The 23,947-nt window shown below is 38.3% G+C and overlaps 1 long non-coding RNA gene across 1 annotated transcript in view, besides 2 other annotated features; it reads left to right on the forward strand.

Annotated features, from left to right (window-relative positions):
• LINC01500 (long intergenic non-protein coding RNA 1500) overlaps positions 1-23,947 on the forward strand; it is a 189,041-nt gene that overhangs the window by 119,124 nt on the left and 45,970 nt on the right. The window contains exon 4 of the long non-coding RNA NR_110547.1: positions 902-930. This is a non-coding gene — a long non-coding RNA (long intergenic non-protein coding RNA 1500). The remainder of the gene's footprint in view (positions 1-901; positions 931-23,947) is intronic.
• Positions 6,694-6,813: an enhancer, noted in NCBI's record as "active region_8455". NCBI's record gives its function as "activates an Ori minimal core promoter by ATAC-STARR-seq in GM12878 lymphoblastoid cells {active_cell/tissue: GM12878}" and the evidence as "EXISTENCE:reporter gene assay evidence [ECO:0000049][PMID:35858748]".
• Positions 8,752-9,253: an enhancer, noted in NCBI's record as "NANOG hESC enhancer chr14:59422881-59423382 (GRCh37/hg19 assembly coordinates)". NCBI's record gives its function as "activates a minimal SCP1, AML or CMV promoter by ChIP-STARR-seq in naive H9 embryonic stem cells {active_cell/tissue: H9 hESC(naive)}" and the evidence as "EXISTENCE:reporter gene assay evidence [ECO:0000049][PMID:30033119]".

Here is a 23,947-nt window from a genome sequence, read left to right on the forward strand (position 1 = left end):
GAAGCTGCCATATCAGCTATAGATGACCTATGCAGACTTTTAAGTGAGAGAGAAGTAAAATTCTATGTTGTTTAAGCTATGGTTACTTTGAGATTCCTGTCATCTGCAACTAAATCCAATCCTAATTAATATATCTACTAAATCATTTTTATTGGCTAACCCAAAGTCCAAAGTCATGAAAATGGGCACATCATGTCTTTTTCTCTACTTACTATTCTTGCTTTAGTTTTCTTTGTAACTTTTCAAATCAGCTTTTAGGGAGACTTATGAACGGGCCTTTTTAGATAAGCAAGGACATTACTTTTACTTTGTAAACAGACTTATACTGTATTCAGTTTCAGAATTCCATCTTACTGTGACAACTCACTTTCCATTGACAGTGTCTGTACCTCAGCATCACCGAAATGCTCAACAGAGTTAGGTCTGTGCTACCAAACAGTGTTTCATTTTGCTCCCAGTGGAGGATGCTGCCTTTGTTACCATGGGTGGGACCACTTTACATTTGCATATTTATCTCAGTGATATTTACCATTTGTTCAAGTCAGTACCCACAGCGCCCCCTCCAGTGCCGCTTGACCTGGCTCTTAAGACATATGCATCCAATGCCTTGTAGTTTCTTGTTCTTGCTTTTCAGCATTATTTTAATTTCATTGTCTTGGTTCCCTCCTCAACAGTCAGTGGATGAGCAACAGTTCAGGAAAAGGGAATCATTATCCACCCTCTCTGACAGAGCTCAGCTTACTCTGTGAATTGGGATTTTTGTATTAAAAAAGGGGAAGAGATTTTTGATTAGATGGATTTTTCTGGGAATTTTCCATGAGGAGTTGGCAGCCTGTGGTTACGTTCTGCACCTATTAAAAGATGGAGTTGTAAAACTGATGTGTATGTAATCTCTTTTCAGGTTTCCACGGCAACAGTGGCAGCAATTCAGTGAGTAGCTTTTCCATTCTCCCTTCAAGACTTTCAGCCTGTAGAATTGTTTCAGAAAAAGAAAAGCTACTCTTCCTTTAAAAAATAACATATGCATTTAGATTCATTCTGATGAGACAGTTATGATTCTAGGAATATTCCCAGGATAGGAGTCCAATAAGTAAGCGGTTTTACTATTAACAAGCTGTGTGACTTTGGGCAAGTGAGTTATTCTCTATAAACCTCAATTTCCTCATCTATAAACTACGAACAAAAACAGCATCTACACAACAGGGTTTTGGGAAGACTAAATAAAAAAGATGTAGATGAACTGGTTAGCACAATTCATGGGTTATGGTTGTTATTATCCTGAATCAACATTTAGCCAGTTGTAATATCATGTTAGGTTGTACACCTTCGATATGAACGTAATAGATATGATACTTTAAATATCAGCAGCTGTACACATGCCTTATCAAGTGTGATATTGGCAATTTGTGTTTTCTCTTTCTTTCTAACTGGGAGTTTCTATCTTATATTTAAAGGGAATAATTTGTAAACAACATGTATTGGGCTTTTATGTTTTTTCATCCAGTAAGAAAAGCTTTGTCTTTAATTGGAGTGTTCGCTCTATTTACATTTAATGTAATTATTGATACGATTGGGCATAAGTCCACTTATTTGCTGTTTGTTCCCTTTGTTCTTTCTTTTGTCCTTCTTTCCTGTCTTATATTAGCTTAATAAACTACTAGTTAGTAGATGATTCTTGGAAGATGGTGGAATAGGAATCACTAGGAATCCTCATCTACACAGTTGCATTAGAATCTGTATCTATTTAGAAACTCTGCATTCTGTGGAAGGCTTGCAACTTTTAGGTGAATGCTTGGAAGATAATGTACACAGTTACATAGCCATCATCACAATGAGGACATAGAACATTTCTATTACCCTGAAATGTTCTCTCTTGCACATTTGCAGTCAATTCCCTCCTGCCACTCCCAGGTCGTGGTAAGTACTGGCCTGTTTCTGTCACTACAGTCTTTGCCTATTTAATAATATCATATAGAGTAGGCCATTCATATCCACAGATTCTTCATCTGCAGAGTTGACCAACTGTCCATTGAAAATATTAGAGAAAAAACAATAAAATTGACAATAAAAATAATATAAATGAAAATAATACAGTATAATAGCTATTTACATAGCACTTACATTCTATTAGGTATTATAAGTAATCTAGAGATGATTTAAAGTATATGGGAGGATGTCCATAGGTTATATGAAAATACTAGGCCATTTTATATAAGGGAGTCAAGCATCTATTGATTTTGGTATTTTGGGGGGTCCTGGAAACAATCCTCTATGGATACTGAGGGACAACTATACATGGAATTGAACAGAAAAGAGTCTTTTCTGTTTGGCTTCTTTCATTTGCTTAGCATTATGCCTCTGAGATGCATCTATATTCTGGCATGTGTCAGTAGTTAGTTTTATTATATTGCTGAGTAATATGCTGGTATATGTGTGTGCATATACACATACATGTGTATAAACATAGCTCAATTTATCCATTCACCAGTTGATGGATATTTGGTTCCAGTTTGAGGCTATTAGGAATAAAGCTATTGTGAACAATCATGTACAAGTCTTAATGTGGAATATATGTTTTAATTTGGGGGGATAAATACCTAGGAGTGAGATTGTTAGGTTTTATGGCAAGTTTGTTTAAATTGTATAGAAAACCACAAATTGTTTTCCAAAGTTCTTATACTTTTATATTTCCAGTGTAAGTTCTAGTCGCTCTACATCTTCATACACATTTGATGTTGTCAGTCTTTCTATTTCCACTATTGGTATTGGCTTTATTGCTTTTGTATGTTTGTTTCAGTTTTTAAGTAATTGCTTTTATGCTTACAATATGCATCATTAACTTATCACTGTCTACTTTAAAGTAATATACAACTTCACATGTAAAATCTATAAAACATGATGCTTTCCCCCTTCCCATTCTTTGCTTCATTATTGTCATACTTGTTACTTCTGTTACAAATTCCACAATATATTGTTACTATTTTTGCTTTAAACAGTCAATTATGTTTTAAGGAGGTTAAAAATGAAGAAAATGGCTTTTAAATTTGCCCACTCACATTTTTAGCAATTATAGTGGTTTTCAATCTTTTGTGTAAATCCTGATTTCCATCTCCTATAATTTTTCTTCTCTTTGAAGAACTATCTTTAATATTTTTTATAGCATGAATCTGTTGGTGATAATTCTTTCAGCTATTGTTTGTCTGAAAAAGTCTTTATTTCACCTTTCAGCTCGAAGGTATTTTTACTGAATAAATAATTCTAATTTGGCAGCTCTCTTTCTTTTCCCTCCTCCCCTTCCTAAATGCCATTACTTTAAAGACCTGTCTCTATTCTATTCTGGCTTGCAATGTTTCTGAAGAGAAGTCAGCTGTCATTCTTGTCTCTGTTCCTTGGAATATATGCCTTTTTTTCTCTGGGTTTTTTAAAGATTTTAGTTTTATAACTGATTTTCAGAGATTTTATTATAATGTCACTTGAAATAGTACCCTTTACATTTATTTCACTTGGGTCCTGTTGATCTTCTTGGAACTATGGATTTACAGTTCTTATCAAATATAAAACATTTTGGCAATACTTTGTTCGAACATTTTTCTTTTCTGACCCCTCTTCTCCTTCTGGGAATACAGTTACAAGCAGTTATATCATGTAATATTGTCCTACAGGTCACAGAGGCTTTGTTTTTTTCAGTCATTTTCCCTCTCTGTGCTTCATTTTGGATGCTTTCTATTGCTATGCCTTCAGGTTCACTGATCTTTTCCTTTGTAATTAATCTGTTCTTAATCCCAACAGGTTTTTCTCTATCATCTACTTGAACATATGGAACATATTTAAAATAACTGTTTGAATGTCCTTATTTAATGGTTCCATCATGTATGTCATTTCTGGAGCTGGTTTTATTGGCTGATTTTTCTTTTGGTCATGCGTCATCTTTTCCAACTTGTTTACATGCCTGACAGTTTTGGATTGGATCCTGTGCCTTGTGAGTTTTAGATTTTTGGTTGCTAAATTTTGTTACTTTTCTTTAAATAGTGTTGGATTTTCTTCTGCTGTATATTTAAATTACATGAAATCAGCTGGATGCTTTCAAGCCGTGCTTTTGAAATTTTTAGCATAGGTTTAGAGTACCTTAATTTAGCGGATGTTAGCCCCACTATTGAGGCTTCTGAAAGTTTTGTCTGATATCCATCCATCAGGAAGTCTTTCCACTCTGGTTTGTGGAAACAGCAACAATTTCCAGCCTTGTATGAGCTCTGGAAATTGTTCTGCCCACTTCTATGCAGTGGTTTGTTTCCTAACCTCAGATAGTTTCCTATCAGTACTCATCAAAAGTCTTAAGTGGATCTTTCTGCAGATTTCTGAATTTTTTTTCTCTATGTAGATTACTCCTCTCTAATATTCCAACCCACAAATTCTAGCCATGTTGGTCTCCTGAAACTGCAATTTCTGCCTCCTAAACTTGGTGAAATTTTAGGCTCTATCTGGGTTCTCTCTCCCTGCACTGCATCCTGGAAACTGCTTCCAGGTTATAAGCTGATGCAATTGAAGGGCTCATCTTGATTTGCTCTTTTCTGGGATTGTATCCCTGTGATATCCGTTGTTTAATTTCTGAAAATTATTATTTCATATATTTTGCTCAGTTTTCTAATAGTTCCTGGCAGGAAGGTAAATCTGGTCCCCATTATTTCCTCATGACTGGAGAGTAAATGTCATTATCAGTTTTCTTTCTTTCTTTTAAATTTGAGCCATTCTATTAGGTGTGTATTAGTATTTTATTGTGGTTGTAATATGCATTTCTCTGAAAACTAATTATGTTGAGCATCTTCTTATATGCTCATGTGTCATTATTATATCTCTTTTGATAAAGTATGTCTTCAAAGCTTTCACTCAGTTTTAAAATTCTGAAATTGTAAAATTTCTTTATATATTCTGACTAGCAGGCTTTTATCAGGCGTTTGTCTTGCAAGTTTTTTCTCCCAGTCTTTGGTATGACTTTTCACTTTTTTAGCAGTGATTGTCAAAGGGCAAAATATTTAAAATTTGGTGAAGTTTAATATATCAATTTTTTCTTTTATAAGATTCATGCTTTTGTAGCTTATCTAAGAACTCTTTGCTTAACACACTAGGTCAAAAAGTTTTGCTCCTATGTTTTCTTCAAGAGATTTTATAGATTAGTTTCTACACTTACATCTATGATTCATTTCAAGTTAATTTTTGTGTATAATCTGAAGTAAGCATCAAGGTTTATTTTTCCCATAGAGATGTTAGTTGTGCCAGTCAATTGTTATAAAGGTTATCTTTACATTGTTGAGTTATTTTGACAATTTGTCAAGTCAGAGTATCTCATTTTCCCATTCACTCTCATGCCTGCCTACCTTTCTCTTTTTCTCCTTAGCCCTCACTTCTCTCCATTCATCTGTCCCTCCAACCATCCATCCATTTATCTATTCATTCATCTATTCACCACTCACCCATCCATTCACCCACCTGCCTATCTTCCCTCTTGGTCTAGAAAAAGTTGAAATCTTCACATCAGAATGCTCAGCTTTTAAAGACAGAAAACCCTTAACCCTGATATTTCCATAAGCGGTAGAGGGAATAGATCATGTGACTTCTAACATCTATCGTGTGTTTAAAAAAACAGCCAGATAATTTTACTGGGTGGTTGCTTAAGCCCCTAAACAATAGTTTCCTTTTATCGAGAAACTTTAAAAATATTAAAATGTCATACTATAGCCTAAAAGGCAAAAAGATGGAAGTCAAGACTATTTTTATTCAATGCAAAATAATGCCAAATGAATTTAGACTTATGGAGTGATCTGGAGAGGGAAAGTCCATATGAAATCCATATAGTTTTATAATTACCTTTTGGAAAAGCATTTCCTCTGAGACAGTTTGAAATTTTGTATAAAAACCTTTTTGACAGTTTGAAGGATCATTATTTTAAGAAAATTGTTATACTTCACTAGCATTCATTTTTCTCTGAAGCTTTACTGCCTTTAATTGCACATTAAACTGTATCAACTTTAAGTATCAAAAGGGGAAGGGGGAAAACACCCATCTGGAGTTTGTTTCTGTTGGAGGCAAGATTTCTAATTGCACTTGGTTGTACTCTTGCTAACTCTATTGTTCATTCAAAGGTTTTCTGTTTGTTAAATAAACATAATATTAGAATATTGTGTCTAGCCTTTTATTTGAAGGAGTTTATAGTTTGAAAGAAAAACCACTTTCTTGCCCATTATCTTATTGGACCTCATAACATTCATCCATTCATTAGAAAAATATTTATTGAGTGTCAATATTCTACTGGGCACTGAAAATACAATGGTGAAAAAGATGATTTTAAATTTTATTTATTTGATGATGTTTGCTAAATGTGTATCTCTAGCCTGTATATCTTCTCTTGAACTTCTGAGTTCTGAACATATTCACCATTTACTGTTGGATTTCTAATATGTATTTCAAAATTAGTTTATAGGTCTAAAACCAAACTCTTCATCCTTGCCTTCACCCTTATTCTCTCCTAATCTTTCCATCTGTTCATTTGTTCAGGCTACAGCCTGGGAGACGTTGCTAATTCTCTCTCCTCCCCACTCCACATTCAATCTGTCAGGAGATCTTGGAATCAAAGTTTGTGTACACGCTGCCACTGTTATCACACCACCCAAATCACCTTCATTTCTTGGCTGGATCACTGCTCTAACCTCACACTGCTTCCAGCAAAGCTCATCTTCAATCTTGTCAGCTCATAGCAGCCACAGTAGAACCAGCCAGCCTTTTCATCTCAGTCAGAATAAAACCAAAAGTCTATACTATGAACTATTCATTCTGTCCTCTTCATTTCCTCCACCTGTGCACCAGCCACACTGCCCTTGGAACAACCAAACTGGGCCTTTTCCCTTGGGGGCTCCCACTTTCTGGGATACCCCAGCTCCAGGTCTTGCTTCTTCACTTTCTTCAAGTCCCGTTAAAATGTTGCATACTCAGTGGCCTTCCCTGGCCATCCTGTATAAATTTCACCACCTACCCTGTATGATCCCATTTAATTCCCATATCTATTTCTTCAAAACACCTATTGCCACTGGACATGTTACAAAGTGATTTGCTTATTTGCTTATTTCAAGGCATATTTGCTTATTTCCAGGCCTGACTTCTCTATCTAAAAACAAGGACTGCATCTCCTTACTTTACTTACTGACATATCCCCAGGGCATGGGACAATATCTAGTACCGAGAAGTCACTAAACAATATTTGTTAAATGAATTCATAAAGAAATAAAATTTCTTACCCTCATAATTTTTATACCCTAACTGGGGGAGACAGGCAACAAACAAAAAAGCAGAGTTTAGGGAAGAAATTAGAACTCGGTGATGTGACAGAGGCAGCTAGGTGTTGAAAGGAGACCCTTTGGATAGGATACTTCTATGAGAGGAGACACTTAAAGCAGGATCTGAATAACAGGAAAAAGCCAGCCTTGCAGCATTTTCATTTTATGGATCAGAAAACTGAAGCTACAAGAAACCATGTGCTTTTTGCATCTGTTGAATAGTAGAAGTGAATTTATAAACCTAAACTCTGACCACTCTTTGTTCTTCTTTCATGTTAAACTTCAAAGCCTTTCACAACTAAAATGACTAAAATACAATACTTATTTTTTAAAAAAAAAAGCCAGAAAAACAATCCAGCCTATCTCTCTGCTAACTTTAAGGCAAGAATCACCACCCAGTCTAGGCTGATTGGCAGCTGGCCACAAGGAGACAGTTGGAAAATATATTTAGTTTTTCCTGTTTCATTTTATGTTTAACTTTTGCGTTTTAAGACTAGTGAGCATGGAGCTCAGTCCTAGAAAAAAAGAAAGTCTGCAATTGTTCTCATTCAGACAGCTACTTCTTAAAAGTCATTTCTCTTAATTCCATGAAATACTCCCAGAGGAGTGACCTCCTTCGGTTGCACAGTGCTGAGCTTGTCTTCGTGTTTCTGGAATGCTGCTCCAGGATTTCTTTTTCAAATGGTCAAGTCATGCTGGTTGTTTTTAAGTCCTCAGAGCACTCTCAGCCTTTTTTTTTTTTTCCCTTTCAAACACAGAGAGCAATGCAAGACTGAATCCTTCCTGGTTTCATTCCTAATTCCTGCTGCAAATGGTAATCCTGCCTTGGGACACTGAGGCTCCCCTTTGCTTTGCAAATAGTCTGTGAACCTTTAGGAAAGCATGATTGATAACACAGTCTGAAAAAAAAGGAAAAGGAAAAAAATACCTACTGAGATGACTAGGCTTGAAGCCTAGTTTGGAATGCACCCAACAGCACAAAACCTTGAAAAGCAGAAGCAAAAATTCAAACATTTGCCGACCCCAGTGCTTAGTAATTTACCACCTTACTACCTCATGTTTTCTTTCTCTAGTTTTCATTTTTATATGCATGACTTAAGTAATTCCTAGGCTTATTTCCAATGATACAATGCAGAAAACAAGTTGGGAGAGAATCAGGCAAGGAACACACAATTCCTAGTGTAAATGAGTTTCAGAATGAACACAGAGAAAAGGACATTCTTCTTTTCTCTTTCTTTCTTTTATTCTGTTTTTGTTGTTGTTATTCAAAAATAAGAAAAGTTGATGATTGGTTGGTGCAATGTTTTAGTCAGGGGTTCTCCAGAGAGACAGAAATAATAGAATATATAAAGAGAGAGAGATGTATGAAAAGGGATTTATTAGTGGAATTAGCTACTCAATTATGGAGGCTGAGAAGTCCCACAATAGGCTGTTCATAAGCTGGAGAACAAGGGAAGATGGTAGCATGGATTGGTCTAAGTCCAAAGGCCTGAGAACCTGGAATTCTGACACCTAAGGGCAGGAAAAGGAGGATGTTCCAGCTCCAGAGGAGAGAGACTCATTAAGAGAGTCTTATGAAGACTAGGTTTAAGGTGTTATTAAGAAAAGAGATTAATAAGGGCTCTCCCTGTGAGAAACAGAGATGGATGTATTTTAGAATTAGAGGAACAGGAAATGGTTAGTTAGGAAGCCCAGCTGAGAATGTTCTAAGCCACAATAGATAAAAGGAGAGTGTTGAGTAATCACTTGACATCTCAGGGCCTAAGATGCTGGTGGGAAGGGAAAGAACAGGGGAGCTGAACATACAGAGATTCAGAGTGTGAAAGTGTGTGTGTGTGTGTGTGTGTGTGTGTGTGTGGTGTGGTGTGTGTGGGGTGTGTGTGGTGTGTGGTGTGTGTGTGGTGTCTGGTGTGTGTGTATGTGTGGTGTCTGGTGTGTCTGTATGCTTGTGTGGTGTCTATGTGCGCGCGTGTGTGTTTATGGGGGAGGGCCACTATATGAAATTGCAGGGCAAGTGTATGAGACTCGAATTGGCTTTGCTGATGGGGGTGGGGACTGCAGGTGGGCCTTTTGGCATTCCTGAAATAATGGCACTATTTCTGCTTGATGGAAATAATTTAGTGAAAGCACATGATTGCTACATGCAATTAGGAGTTGGAATAAAACATGATTGCTGTTTTCTTGTTTGCATGTGTGGGATTATATTATAATTAAATGGAATAGTAACAAGAGGTGTGTGTAAATTATATTCCTGGCTTGCATGAAGGATAGAAACCAGCAGAAATAGGCCAGGAGCAGTGGAGGCTATTGGGCGATTTGTTCCAGGAAATTCTGACAACTCACTGGGAAGCTGAAACTGCTGGGGACTTGGCTGTTCAGGTAAGAAAACAACCACGATCTTGGCTTTGACTCCTCAGGGGATGACGCTCTTCCAGTTGATGGAGAAGCATGAGCTCCTATGATTAGATTGAGAGAATTTTTGGAAGAGGATTATCTTGTCGATATCAGATTATGCTTTGCCTAACACGGTTTCCAGTGAGAGCTCTGTTCCTTTGGCATATAGATTTGATCAAGGTGACAGTGTTCACTCACATCCCTATCAGCTAATGATATTCTCACATTAGTCTTTTTTTTTTTTCTTGCTGTCTTTCTTTACTGTAAAGCCAAGGAATAACTAGTTAATTGCGCCTTGTTAGATGTTAACTGTTATTAGCCTAAGTAACTTGGGTCTCAGGGTGTGAGCATGAGAATCCAACATCCACAATAGGTAGATTTATGGTTAACATTTGGTGCATCATGATGTTATTAAACCAGAGAATTGACCCAGTAAGAATATGATTTGGGGAACAGACATGTCGAATTTGAAGTACCAACAGAACATCCAAATTCCAGTGTCCAGGAGATGTGGTATGTCCATATGTAGAGCTAAAGAAATAAAAATGGATGGGGGATCAAGATTTCGGAATCATCAGCATATTTGAGTGATGAATCCAAGCCATAGCAGTGAAAGAAAAAACCAGGATGAATGGAGAAACTGAGAAGCTGGTTAAAGATAAATCATTGGGTAACGCCAATTTTAAGGGTGAGTGGAGCCAGAGGATCTCAAAAAAAGAAAGTGTTGTGAACTAAATACTTGTGCCCCACCTCCCCTAAAATTCTTGTTGAAACTGAATCCCTGGTGTTATAGTATGTGGGGCGGGGACCTTTGGGATGTAATTAGGTCATGAGGGTGGAGCCCCATGGATGGGATTAGTGCCCTTAGAAGAACAGGCCAGAGAGCTATCTCACTTTCTTTCTGTCACGTGAGGACACAAGACATTGATAGTCTGCAACCTAGAAGAGAGCCCTCATGAGAAACAACCATGCTGGCACTCTGATCTCAGACTTCCAGTCTCCAGAACTATGGAAAATAGACTCTGCGGTACTTCATCATATCAGCCAGAACTAAGACAGAAGAAGAAATCAGGGACAGTTGGAAAAGTAGGAGAAGCTGGTGTCAGGAAAGTTAGGAGAGAAGTTTTACGATATAGGGAGAGAGTGATAGTATCGATGCTGCAAAGAAGTCCCAACACAATAAGACATAGAAAAAAGACGGAAATTCAAATGGATGGAATTTCAAAGTGGTAAATAGAATAAAAGTGCCAGACCCAACAGGTATACATCTAATTTTTAAAGATGACTCAAGCTGTTATGATTCTACCCAAGATGAAGTTGAGCCAGTCTGTGATTTTACTCCTCACCAGTATCTTCTGTGGTGGTGTCCATTTTGCTAGCTCCTGATTTTTGGCTCTGATTATAGCTCCTGCTCTTTTTCTATTTGGACACCTGGACATGGATGTCCGCTTCCCTGGGAGTACCAGTTACACCCTTTCCAAGTTGTCTGGTAAGAACCTCCTTGGACCATCTGGTTTCAGCCTCCTTGGGCAGGGGAGAAAATGGGTCCATTACCTACAAGGTAGTTGGACAACATGTTTAGTGGGGTTGGAGGAGGCAGTCAGGACTGAATAATGGTGTGGCAAGAGCAGACATCTAGAGAGTACAGTCTCATAACCCTTGTGCCCCGAAAGGCAGAGGGGCAGATGTGGGAGATAAAGGGACAAATGGGCCTTGTGTGCCACTACTGGGCAATGTTGGCCTGATCAAGGAGGCTCTCTAACTTCCTAGTCCTCCTGCCATGGTGGGTTTTGAAGGAAGGAGTGGATTTTGAGGAGCAGAGTCAAAGCCAACTGATCGAATATGGCTATAAAATAATAAGAATCTTAAGACTCACCTTGGGATTTATACATCTGCCTGAACATTTTCCCACCTCCAGGAGTCTCCTTCCATTGTAAAGAGGTTCCTTGTTCCAGGGAGGCACTTATTATTCTGAATGCCTTTGGGCTCTTCATACCCTTCAAGGGTTCCTTCATCCCATCTTATATTAGTTTGTTATTGGTGCATAACAAATTACCACAAACTTAACTTAAAAGTAACACCTAATATTAGCTCATAGTTCTGCAGATCAGAAGTCCTTGTGGGCTTGGCTGGGTTCTCTGCTCAGCTCAAATCAAGATGTCAGCTGTGCTAGGCTCTAATCTGGAGGCCCTGGGGGAAGGATCTGCTCCCAAGCTCAGTCAGGTGGTTGGCAGATTCAGTCCACTGGCTGTGAACTGAGGGCCACAATATTCTAGGGGCTGCTCAGATTTCTAATCATGTGGCCCCCTCCATTTTCAAACCAGCAATAAGTGTCAAGGCATTCTTCTTTTTGTTGTATATAATTGACACATAGTAATCGTACATGTTTGCAGGATACATTGTGATGTTTCAATACATGTATACACTGAATAATGATAAACTCAGGGTAATTAGCATTATCATTTCTTTTTGGTAATAACTTTCAAGATCCTCTTTTCTAGCTCTCTTGAAATATACAGTATGTTGTTATCAGCTATAGTCACTCCACTAGGTAGAACATCATTCTTATGCTTGGAATCTCTCTTACTTCTTCTCCCAGCTAGAGAATATTCTCTACTTTTTTTTTTTTTTTTTTTTTTTTTTTTGAGACAGGGTCTCACTGTCACCCAGTCTGGAGCGCAGTGGTGTGATCTCGGCTCACCACAACCTCCACCTGCCAGGCTCAAGCTATTCTCCTGCCTCAGCCTCCCAAGTAGCTGGGATTACAGGCACTCACCACCACACCAGGCTAATTTTTGTATTTTTAGTAGATATGGGGTTTCACCATTTTGGCCAGGCTGGTCTGAAACTCCTGACCTCAAATGATCCACCCGCCTCGGCCTCCCAAAGTGCTGGGATTATAGGCGTGAGCCACCAGGCCCGGCCCATTCTCTACTTTTAAAGGAATCATGTAATTAAACCTGACTTACCTAAATGATCTCTCTCTATTGTAAAAAGGAATGATTAGTACTTATATATGCAAAGTCCCTTTTGCCATGTGCTATAGACTAAATGTTTATGTCACCCGCCTCCCCCAAATTTACAGGTTGAAATTCTAAGCCTCAATGGGATGGTATTTGGAGGTGGGGCCTTACGGAGGTGATTGGGTCATATGAGCAGAGCCCTCATAAATGGGATCAGCGGCCTTACAAAAAGGCTCCAGAGAGTTTCCTTGCCCCCTCCCACCATGTGAGGAGACGGTGAGAAGGGAGCTGACTATGAACCAGGAAGTGGGCCCTCATCAGACACCAAATCAGCCAACACTTTGATCTTAGACGGTCCACCTCCAGAGCTGCGAGAAATCAGTTTCTGTTGTTTATAAGCCACCTTGTCTATGCTGTTTTGTTACAGCAGCCTGAACAGACTAAGAAACCATGTGACTTGATATAATCACAGGAGTGATGTCCCATCATATTCACAGGGGAGGGGATTACACAAGATGAGTGCTTTTGGGGTCATTCTGAGACTTCTGCTACCACACTTTCACAGCCTTCATTCTTTTCAATGCCACCAGTAGCACCAAATTTTTCAAAGTAGATCTCCTCTTTTGGACACAACCAAAAGTCGTTTAGTGAATAAGATGGGTGAACAATTTTTTATTTTAAAAATGGCTTTGAATATAAAGGCATATGAGTGTTTTCCTTGCATGACCCATAAGCAAGATCTGAAAGTAATTTCAACATGAAAGTTTTCCTATTTCACATTTCATTATGCTACTGCAATATTTTCTCAGTGTATTGGGGCAAAAAAATATTCGAATGGAGGCATTAGTATATTAAGCCCAAAATTCCCTTCCCAGTTTTAGACTGGTCTCCTGAGTTCAACATTTATTCATTTTAACCATGGAATTTGTGTCTTAATTTTCCTTTCCCTTCCATCTGCAAGTAACACTGGGCCAGAGGAGTAATATTCTTGTCTAGCTCAGCAATTCCACGGAGGAGCAAAGCCTCCTGGGCGCCATTTGGAGAGATAGTGAGAGGCAGGCATTTGCGTTTCTGTGGGGTTTGGACAGGCTGTGCAGCTACCACAGGTGGGTGGTCCAAATGATCTGCAGACAGTTGAACTCCTCGGGGTTTTGGGTCCTGGGATATGCCTAATATTTCAAAAGCAGCTCCATTCTGGATGGTTTTCTGGAGACAAAACCTCAGAATCAAAAATGATCTCATTAAAACAAGGAGAGGTAGCTGAAGCCAAGGTCCCAGAGGGAGTTGTTTTTCCTTGGACTCCATTTATTTTACTTCCTTCAGCCAAAAAATAAGATAAATAAATAAATTTAGAAGCCTACATGTTTTCCTTAGAACTTAAGAAACTGCCTTCCTGCAGCTCTCCCCTCTCTGCTTTGGAGCTTTGTACACATGCGTCATATAGGGAGAGGGAGGGACGGCAATGGGGAGAAAGAAGGATGGCCTCCACTCACCAAACCTGCAGGATCCAGTTATAGAGACCAAAGCAGGAAAACCCTGGGTGAAGGCTCAGTGTTACATAAATGTGTCAAATTCCATGACAAAAAGGGAGAAGCACCATACATCTGACAACCATCTTAAAGAACAAGGTGATACAACCCACATATTAGCAGCAAAATTTCTTAAATTTGCAAGGTTAGGAAGACATGCATTAAGTAGATGAAAGGAAGACGTAATACCTGGTTAACAGGATGAATGCTCCTTCAAGAGACTAGCTTAGTACAATAATGGGAATATTCTTATATCTATATCTAGCTGGATATATAGATATATAGATGTATAGATATCTATCTATATAGATATATCTATATATCTAGATATCTATATATAGATATATCTAGATATCTATATATCTATATATATAGATATAGATATATCTATATATAGATATATCTAGATATATAGATATCTATGTAGATATCTATATATCTAGATATAACTATATAGATATATAGATATCTACATAGATATATATCTAGATATATCATAAATCTATCTATATCTATATATAGATATATATATCTGTATATACATATATATCTAGATATATATAGATATATATCTGTGTATACATATATCTATATATAGATGTATGTATCTGTATATAGATATGTCTATAGATATATCTATAATATCTGTATATAGATATATCTATAGATATATCTGTATATAGATATATATATACACACATATATAGATATATATCTCTATATGCACATATATATATCTCTATACGCACATATATAGATATATATCTCTATACGCACATATATATATATCTCTATACGCACATATATAGATATATATCTCTATACGCACATATATAGATATATATCTCTATACGCACATATATAGATATATATCTCTATACGCACATATATAGATATATATCTCTATACGCACATATATAGATATATATCTCTATACGCACATATATAGATATATATCTCTATACGCACATATATAGATATATATCTCTATACGCACATATATAGATATATATCTCTATACGCACATATATAGATATATATCTCTATACGCACATATATAGATATATATCTCTATACGCACATATATAGATATATATCTCTATACGCACATATATAGATATATATCTCTATACGCACATATATAGATATATATCTCTATACGCACATATATAGATATATATCTCTATACGCACATATATAGATATATATCTCTATACGCACATATATAGATATATATCTCTATACGCACATATATAGATATATATCTCTATATGCACATATATAGATATATACACATATATATCTATATATATACACATATATATCTATATATATACACATATATATCTATATATATATACACATATATATCTATATATATATATATGTATTGGATTTTTCTTTGTATGTGATTAAGATTTCCTCTCTACTATCCCACATCTTATGTAAACTGGCATTTTTGATTTCATTTTATCAATGTGCTGGCCCTAAGATACTTTGCCTAAACTGTCACTGAAACAAATTAATTAAATTAAATATTTAAATAAATTAATTAAATATTAAATATAACAAACTCTTCCTTTTGCCATTTTTCCTTTTCCTTTCTTTTTCTGACCCAGGATAAATATTTTCATATTTAAGTAGGACACAGTCCTCTCAGTAACAACTTCAAGCAACTCAGTGGATAGAGAATTTAATCTTGAGTGTCTCTGAAAATGAGAGCTAAAACTTAGTTTACCATCTATTTAAAAAGTACTTTCAAAATCCTTTGTGACCCGGAGATTTAGCTGTCAAGAAGTAAAGAGAGCAAACAACTTAGAAACAGTATAATGTAATGATTGAGAGTATAACTTCCAGGTCAGACAGACCTGCTAACAAATCCTGGCCCTGCCTCTTATATCTGTGTGTCATTGGGTAGATTACTTCGCCATTTTGAGCTGACTTCCTCCCCTATAACTGGGGTATAATGATAAAGAATACTAAATAAGGGAATGTGTAAAACTAGAACTCAGGAAACACTCAAATATTAGCTGCTAATATTATTTTCCCAACTCTAAAAACTTCAGGCACAACTATTTCAAAGTTGGGTTTTTCAAACTTGGTGATTTACCAAAAAAAAAAAAAAAAAGAAAGAAAAAAATTCTCCCAAAATAAAAACCAACTTACCTTAAGAACTGGCTCATCAGACTGGTGGAAGAAGCATCTTCTCGCTGAACTGCGTTAACTTGAACCCTGAACTTGAACCTTTGCCTCAAGGGTCTAAAAAGAATTTCATCCTCTGTTGCTCATCCAAATATTTTCCTCACTGACTTCCTTTTCTTTCCGTAAACCACCCACCAGTTTGTCAATATAGCATTGACAGCCATCTCTGTTTGTCTTGGCTGATTGATTTTCCTGAGTACCATTAGAAGCATTAGCCTTCACCTGTCTTAGCTGGTTAATTTGGTTTGTAATGGCCTGGAATGCTCTTATGTTTACCCTGGTGGAAGAGGTTAAGTTAGAGCCCAGGTCTTGTCCTGTTAGTGATAATGTCTTGCCTTGATATACAACCCTAGCAAATAAGAAATGACAAAATGGCACTAAACATCTTTCTCTCTGGGCTTAAAATTCATTACCTCAATTCAGAAAGCTGAAAGAAGAGAGACAATATTTTCTGTATGTTTTTACAGGTATAAAACCTGTAGGTAATTATGTGGAATGCCAGGAAAGCAGAATATGGATTTTTTGTAGCATGTTTGTTTTTATGTAAAAGAGTATTCGTGGATATCCTGGAGCGGAGGTTGGCAAATTCTGACCCATTAGCCAAAATCAATCTCCCGCTTGGTTTGTAAAAAAAAAAAAGTGTTACTGAACACAATCAGGCTAGTCTGTTTACACACTGTCTGTGCCTTCTTTTGTGCTACTGATATAGGAGTTAATAAGAAATTATTTAGTGGGGGTAAAAGAGTTCTCGGTAGAATTTCTTTCATAAAAAGCAGCCCCCAGACCGTTTCTTTTCTAACAGAAAGCAGCCTAAAAAAATCAAGCCGCAAACATAAATAAACAAGCTGGAAGCTTGCATAGGTAAATGCTGGCAGCCGAACCTGGAAGTCAGGTATATCGAACATGGCGATTCCCTCCTCCCTCTGCTTGTCGCCACTTGTGCAGGTGTCATGGCTCCGGTCAGGTGGAGGCCACCTTTGCATAATAAAATATTAGGGTGAGACAGCCAGTCTCTTCGTGGGCTATGTAAATGGAACGCCTGGTCAAACCAATCCCCTGGGCCCTATGTAAATCAATCACCACCTCCTCAAGCCCCTCTATAAAATCAACCACACCCCACCCTAAACCCAGAAACCCGCTTGAGCGCTTCCTCTGCATGAGGAAGCTCTCTCTCTTTTCTTTCGTTTTTCTATTAAAACTTTTCCCCTCTTAAACCCACTCTATACGCGTGTGTCCATATCCTTAATCTTCTTGGTGCCAGACGACAAACCTTGGGTATTTCCGCAGACAACGATGCCACTTCACTACAATAGCTGAATAGAGTAGTTGCAACAGAGACCTTGTGGCCTCCAAAGCCTAAAATATTTATTCTCTAGCCTCTTATGGTAGAAGTTTGCCGGCCCCTGTGCCTTTAAAGTGAGATGAAGCTTCCTCAAAGTCACTATTGGTTTTCCTGGAGTGCTTGTCCATCTGGTATGGATACAGTAGCTATATGACAATTTCCTGGGTTAGTCCTATCAAATATTATTTCCCTATTGACCTCATAAGTATACACGAGGAAATTTATACCAATTTGAGAGTAGGTTTTGTTCTTTGGGTTAAAAAGCAGGGCCACCATGGACATAAATGGTAGATTTCCCATGGAGGATGAGAAAATAAAAATTGTTTGCCAACGGTCACAGGCTACAGTGATCACTGTGTTGAATCAATGTGATCGTTATTAGTCCTGAGGCTTTCTGAGTATCTTGAAAATGTCTGCTTCCTGCAGTTTAGCTCTTCATGTTAGAACATAGGTGGGAATTTTTATTTTCTTCAGCCACAGAGAAAGTAAGGAAAATTTAAATGAGTGAATGTTCCCCAGCCTCCCTTCTCACCTATGCCTAAGGCTATGAAAGCATGTTTACAAGAAGTATGCTTCAAGAAAACAGGATTCTTGACATGAACAGGGCCTAAAAATGTTATTATCTTATACAAGATAGGTCGATAACAGGGCACTTTGAGAGAGTACTCTACATCTGTTCAGGAGCATTTTTTAGTGACTGTGGGATTTATGGTGACAGGTAAAAGAAAGTCTATTAAAGTAAACCAGTTAGCCTAAGAAGAGAACAGAGATAATTGAAAGAGGAGCATTGTTGTGGAAGGAAAGATAAACTCTCTAGAAAATTTTTATTGTTCCGTTGCTTTCAATACATAAAAAACACACAAAAGATTCAAATATAGCATTAAAAAATGCACAGAAACAAATCTTGAGCATGCAAAAGTCACCAGCAAGTGTATGAACGTGATGTGTTGCCTGAAAAATATTCTTTGATTGCACAGCTAAACACGTGATTATTTCAGGCTGCCCCAAACTTAAGATGCCTGACTTAATAACAAATTAATTTTCTTATATAAGTGCCCCACCTACACCATAGAATTCCCTTTGCTGCCATCAGGAGAACCAATTGGAGCTATTTTGAGATCTTACAGCCTACAAGAGCAGAAAGCTCTAAAAGTTTGAAAAAACAAGAGCAGTTTAGTTAAGGAAGTTGGTTTGGGTGTGTAATTTTAAATTATGTCTATTATCCCCACCCCAGGAAAACATGGAATGCTAGGCCCAATCTTAGGGAAGTGGTGCAGCCCAGTTCTAAGGCAAGGATATGAGAAGTTGTATTTAATGGAGGAAATGGAACCAAAACCCAGGTATGTCACTCAGTTGCAGTATGAAAGCAAAATAGCTAGGTAAAGAGGTAGGAAGAATCTGGACACAGCACCATTGTAGGGCTGAAAAAATGGAGACTAGTAATGAGTAGAGGTGTGAAGTGGCAGGTGGAATTTGGTAGAGATGTGTTTGAGGAGAGACAAAGGTTGGGAAATTTGCTACTAGCCCTTCTGTTAAAGTATCTGTAGCCGTAGTTGAGAGAGCTCCAGAGCTATTAGTATTGTATCAGGCAGGGTCCAGGCAGGAGTCAAAATCCACAAACACTTATTTTAACAGGAAAAAAAAAAATAATTAACTGGACATTGAAGAACTAAAAAGGCAAAAATAGAACATAATTTATCAAAAAGCTGGCAAGTGATGAAACTAGATACTGCTTCTGCATCTTTGGGAACAAAAGGAGATAGGCTAGAAGGACTGAAAATTTCAGACCTCTCAGGAGGGGATTCTTAGTCTGCTTGAGCTGCCGAAACAAAATATCACAGACTGGGGGCTTAAACAGCAGAAACTTATTTCCTCAAAGTTCTGGATGCTGGAAGTCCAAGGTCAGAGTGCCAGACAGTTTGGTTTCCGGTAACAGCCCTCTTCCAGTCATGCACATGGCCAGTTTCTCACTGCGTGCTCACGTGGTGACCTTTCCTTGGTGCGTGTGCACAGAGAGTGACCTCTCTCTTCCTCTTCTTATAATACTGTTAGGGAAGCATGACCTAGCAGAGCCAGAGTGACACCATTTTAAAATCAACTCCATCTTAAAACTAGCAAGACACATTCATTGCCAGTTCCAACTCATGGCCCTAAGATGTTTGCAGCTAAGCAAGCAGCTTGATAAGGCCTGCTAGGACAAAATCCTACAGCAACAGAAAGTCCAGATGTCCCAGTTACCCATAACAATATATGCTTTCAAGATAATTATAGTTGTGTTTTGATGACTTACACACTAAAATGTCAAGGATAGATTTCTTTAAAGCAATAATATAATAAATTTTGTCATGCTGTCAGCACCCCCGCATGTAGGCAGAGCTTAGTCTTTACATAGATCAGACCCCAACATAAGAAAAACTTGAAGACAATGCATTCTCCACTTGCTTTCTGAGGATGCCCTACTCTGTAATATAAGTAAATTGTATGTTTTGCTCTCAATAAGCTCTCTCTCCTCACTGTACTCTGCAACTCACTTTGAATTCCTTCCTGCATGAGATCCAAGAACCCTCTCTTGGGGTCTAGATCAAGACCCTTTTTTTTCTGATAACAAAGCCACCGATCTTATTGAATTAAGGAACTACCCTTATGATTTCATTTAACCTTAATTACCTCCTAAAAGCTCTATCTCTAAATATAGTCACATTAGGTTAGGGCTTCAGCATATGAATTTTGGGAGAACACAATTGTGTCCACCGCAGGGGTGCTGGCTGGCCTGGTGCTGATGTAACTGAATCAAGGAAAGATGAGGCTGGTCTGTGGGTGCTGAACAAGCTGCAAACTGAGATCAACTGTCTCTCCTGGAAAGAAGTGCTGCTGCCAGGGTGAAGAAGCAAAGCTTGGTGATGTGGATAAGGCAGCATCCTTCCTTCTCAGGTCTTCTAGTCTCCCTCCAGAACTCCCAGCAAAGCAGAAATGTGGTGGGCAGCATCCCACCTCCAACATCACAAAGCGGAGTATGAAAGGGAGAAAGTGAAAGAGGTAAGGGCTAACTTACTAGTTCCATCATGCTGTGGCAAAGGCTGCTGGTTGCTTAAATTAACATCTGTTCTTCTCTTCATTCTTAATAATAGAATCCTAAAACTCAGCCAAAGAATATTTCTCAACCTTCCTTGCAGCTAGATATGGTCATGTGACCACATTTTGGCCAATAAATGCAAATGAAATTATTATGTGGGATTTCCAGGAAGTTTTTAGAGAGTTTCTTTGACCCTTCTTCCATCATGCTGCCCAGAACATGGATGTGATGTGATGGCTGGTGCTCTATCAACCACATTGGGCTGTGAGAACAAGAAACACTGAAGGATGGCAAGGAGCTATGGACCTTGACAATTTTGTCAAGTAACCATGCTAGTCTTAAATTGCTAACTTTCAGGTTTCTTTTATGTGTGTGGGGAAGATTAAGTTCTACTTTGTTTAAGCCTTTTAGGGTTTTTCTAGTATATGCACTCCAAACATTCTAACAGACAGGATACTGAGCTAGCTTGCATAGGTGGGTCCACCTTGCTTAAATGGTGGTTATCCCATTTCAAAGTATTTTCCCTCCTGCCACTTTCAATTTTAGTTGACTTTGTGTTTAAAGAAATTACTGAAAAATCCTTTTATTTGCATATTTAATTGGACTAAAATTTTTTCTTTTTTCTTTGTAAATTATTTTCCCTTCCTTCCTTCCTTTCTTCCTTCCTTCCTTCCTTCCTTCCTTCCTTCCTTTCTTTCTCTCTCTCTCTCTCTCTCTTTCTTTCTTTCTTTTTTTCTTTCTTTCTTTCTTTCTTTCTTTTTCTTTCTTTCTTTCACAGGGTCTCCCTCTATCATCCAGGCTGGAGTGCAGTGGCACAATCTCAGCTCACTTCAGCCTCAACCTCCTGGGCCCGAATGATCCTCCCACCTCAGCCTCCCAAGCACCTGAAACTGCAGGGGCACACCACTGCACCCAGTTAATTTTTTTTGTGTGTGTTTTTTGCAGAGATGAGGCTTCTCCATATTTCCCAGACTAGTCTCAAACTCCTAGGCTCAAGTGATCTGCCCTCCTGGTTCTCCCAAATTGCTAGGATTATAGACATGAGCCACTGTGCCTGGCCTAAAAATCTTTCTCTTAAAAGTGCAAATCCTTCTATGAGGATTAAGGGAACATGAATTATTCACAGTTTAATTTGTTTCATCAGATAGTTTTTTTTAATCCCTAGCCAAGATCAGTTGCACTGAAGAATGGGTGCCTTATGAAAATTGTTACTAATCCTTACAACAATCCTACAAGAAAAGATAGTTATCCCCATTTTACACATAAAGAAACTGAGGCTCAGAAAAGCTAAGTAAAGAACTTAGGACTCACTGTTAATAGGTGGTGGTGCTGGGGATTTGGAACACTCTTTTTTCACTGTACTACTGTGGCACCTACTGGACTCATACTATTGACATTATAATTATAACTTAATTGTGGATGTAATTAAATTATATTTTAATTTATGTAAACATTTATGTATATTTCTATGTAATCTATATTACATAGACTCAGCAAGCTCATCTGAGAAACTAACAACTATTACGAATACTATTTATATGGAGGAATACATTTTAAACCACCAATTGGAGACTGCCTATATTATTAGTGACAAAATGTGACCAAAATATTTTCAATAGAATTAAAAGTCTGGTTAGTTGCTTAATAAGCAAAGCAGAATGCACAACTAGAATGATGACATCTAGATGAAGTACGGATCTTTTTATTGAAAGTGTAACCACTTTTAAATGTATCACCATAGCTCAGATATAACTGAATTTCCTCCAGCTCAGGGCTATTCTCCCACATGGTCAGTGCGTGCAGGACTCCTGCTGAGGCTCATAGTCACTGCTGTTCCGTGGGAACTGATCAGAGGCCTCCACCTGGCTGGGGCTTTGGAGCTCTCCACTCCAAGATCTGGTTTAGGGACCCTTGCCTCTGGCCTTGGTGACTCCTCGGCAGACCTGTAGGCACTCAACCATAAGCCACTTTCTACATCCCCTACTGGGACATGAGGATAGTTCTGCACCTCATCTGTGCTGTGTGCTGGTTTGGCAGAACCCAGAGGGGCCTGCGGCTGTCTCAGGCGCTGTCTCCCTAAATACAAAGGTGGCCACGTCCACTCCACTGTAGCTCTTCCGACCTGGTGTGAGAAACATTGTGAGTCAGTCCCTTTCAGCATTCCAGATGCAAATGGGGGCAAAGCTATTTAGCTGAGGGACTTTCCAGCCTGACTGGGGGTTTTTATCTGCCCTTCTCCAGCAGGGCTTTCAACCCTGGGAGGGGCGCGGAAGCAGCCAGACAGGGCTGAAAACTTTCACAGGAGCAACTAAATGTTCCTGATTTATCTCCCCTCACACTCCAGCCTCCTCCCTGCCCTGGAAGGCATTCTATCTCCCTTCTGTGGGGAAGGAGCTGCCGTGAATCCTGGGCCTGCATGTTTCCTGTATGTTGGCTGTGTGTACACTCCATGTTCTGCCCTGGGCTCTGGCCCAGTCTTCCACTAAGCTCTTTTAGAAATCAAAATAAAGCCACCTCTCTTTCATGCTTTTAGCTGTCACAAAACAAAAATGCTTTGGTTTTAGGTTATTATGCCTGCCATGACTTAATAAAAAATCATTCAGCAAGTCAGTGGAAGTCTTTGGTTGTGCCCTCCCCATGAAGCTGTGTATGCCCTTGATCCCCAGGTGGAGAACTACAGGGTAACTGGGTTAACAATCAGAAAGAAAGACTTTTGTTTAAAACCTCCGTGTATTATTCCATTACATAAGTAACAGAAGACAGCTTTTAAACTAGTGTATTTGTCTGCTTGGGCTACCTTAACAAAATACCACAGATTGGGCGGCTTAAACAATAGCAATTTATTTTCTGACAGTTCTGGAGGCTGGAAATCCAAGATCGGGGTGCCAGCAAGTTTGGTTTCTGATGAGGCCTCCCCTCCTGCTTGTAGACGGCACCTCTCCCTGGTGAATGCATAAGGAGCCACAGAGAGAGTGAGAGAGCTTTGATCCCTCTTTCTCTTCTTATAAGGACACCAATCCTATCAGATTAGTTCCCTCCCCTACTTTGACCTTATTTAACTTAATTACCTCCTAAACGCCTTATTTCCAATACAGTCACATTGGGGGATAGTGCTTTTA

The sequence above is a fragment of the Homo sapiens genome, chromosome 14 (genome assembly GCF_000001405.40).
Source record: "Homo sapiens chromosome 14, GRCh38.p14 Primary Assembly".
In the NCBI taxonomy this organism is placed as follows: domain Eukaryota; kingdom Metazoa; phylum Chordata; class Mammalia; order Primates; family Hominidae; genus Homo; species Homo sapiens.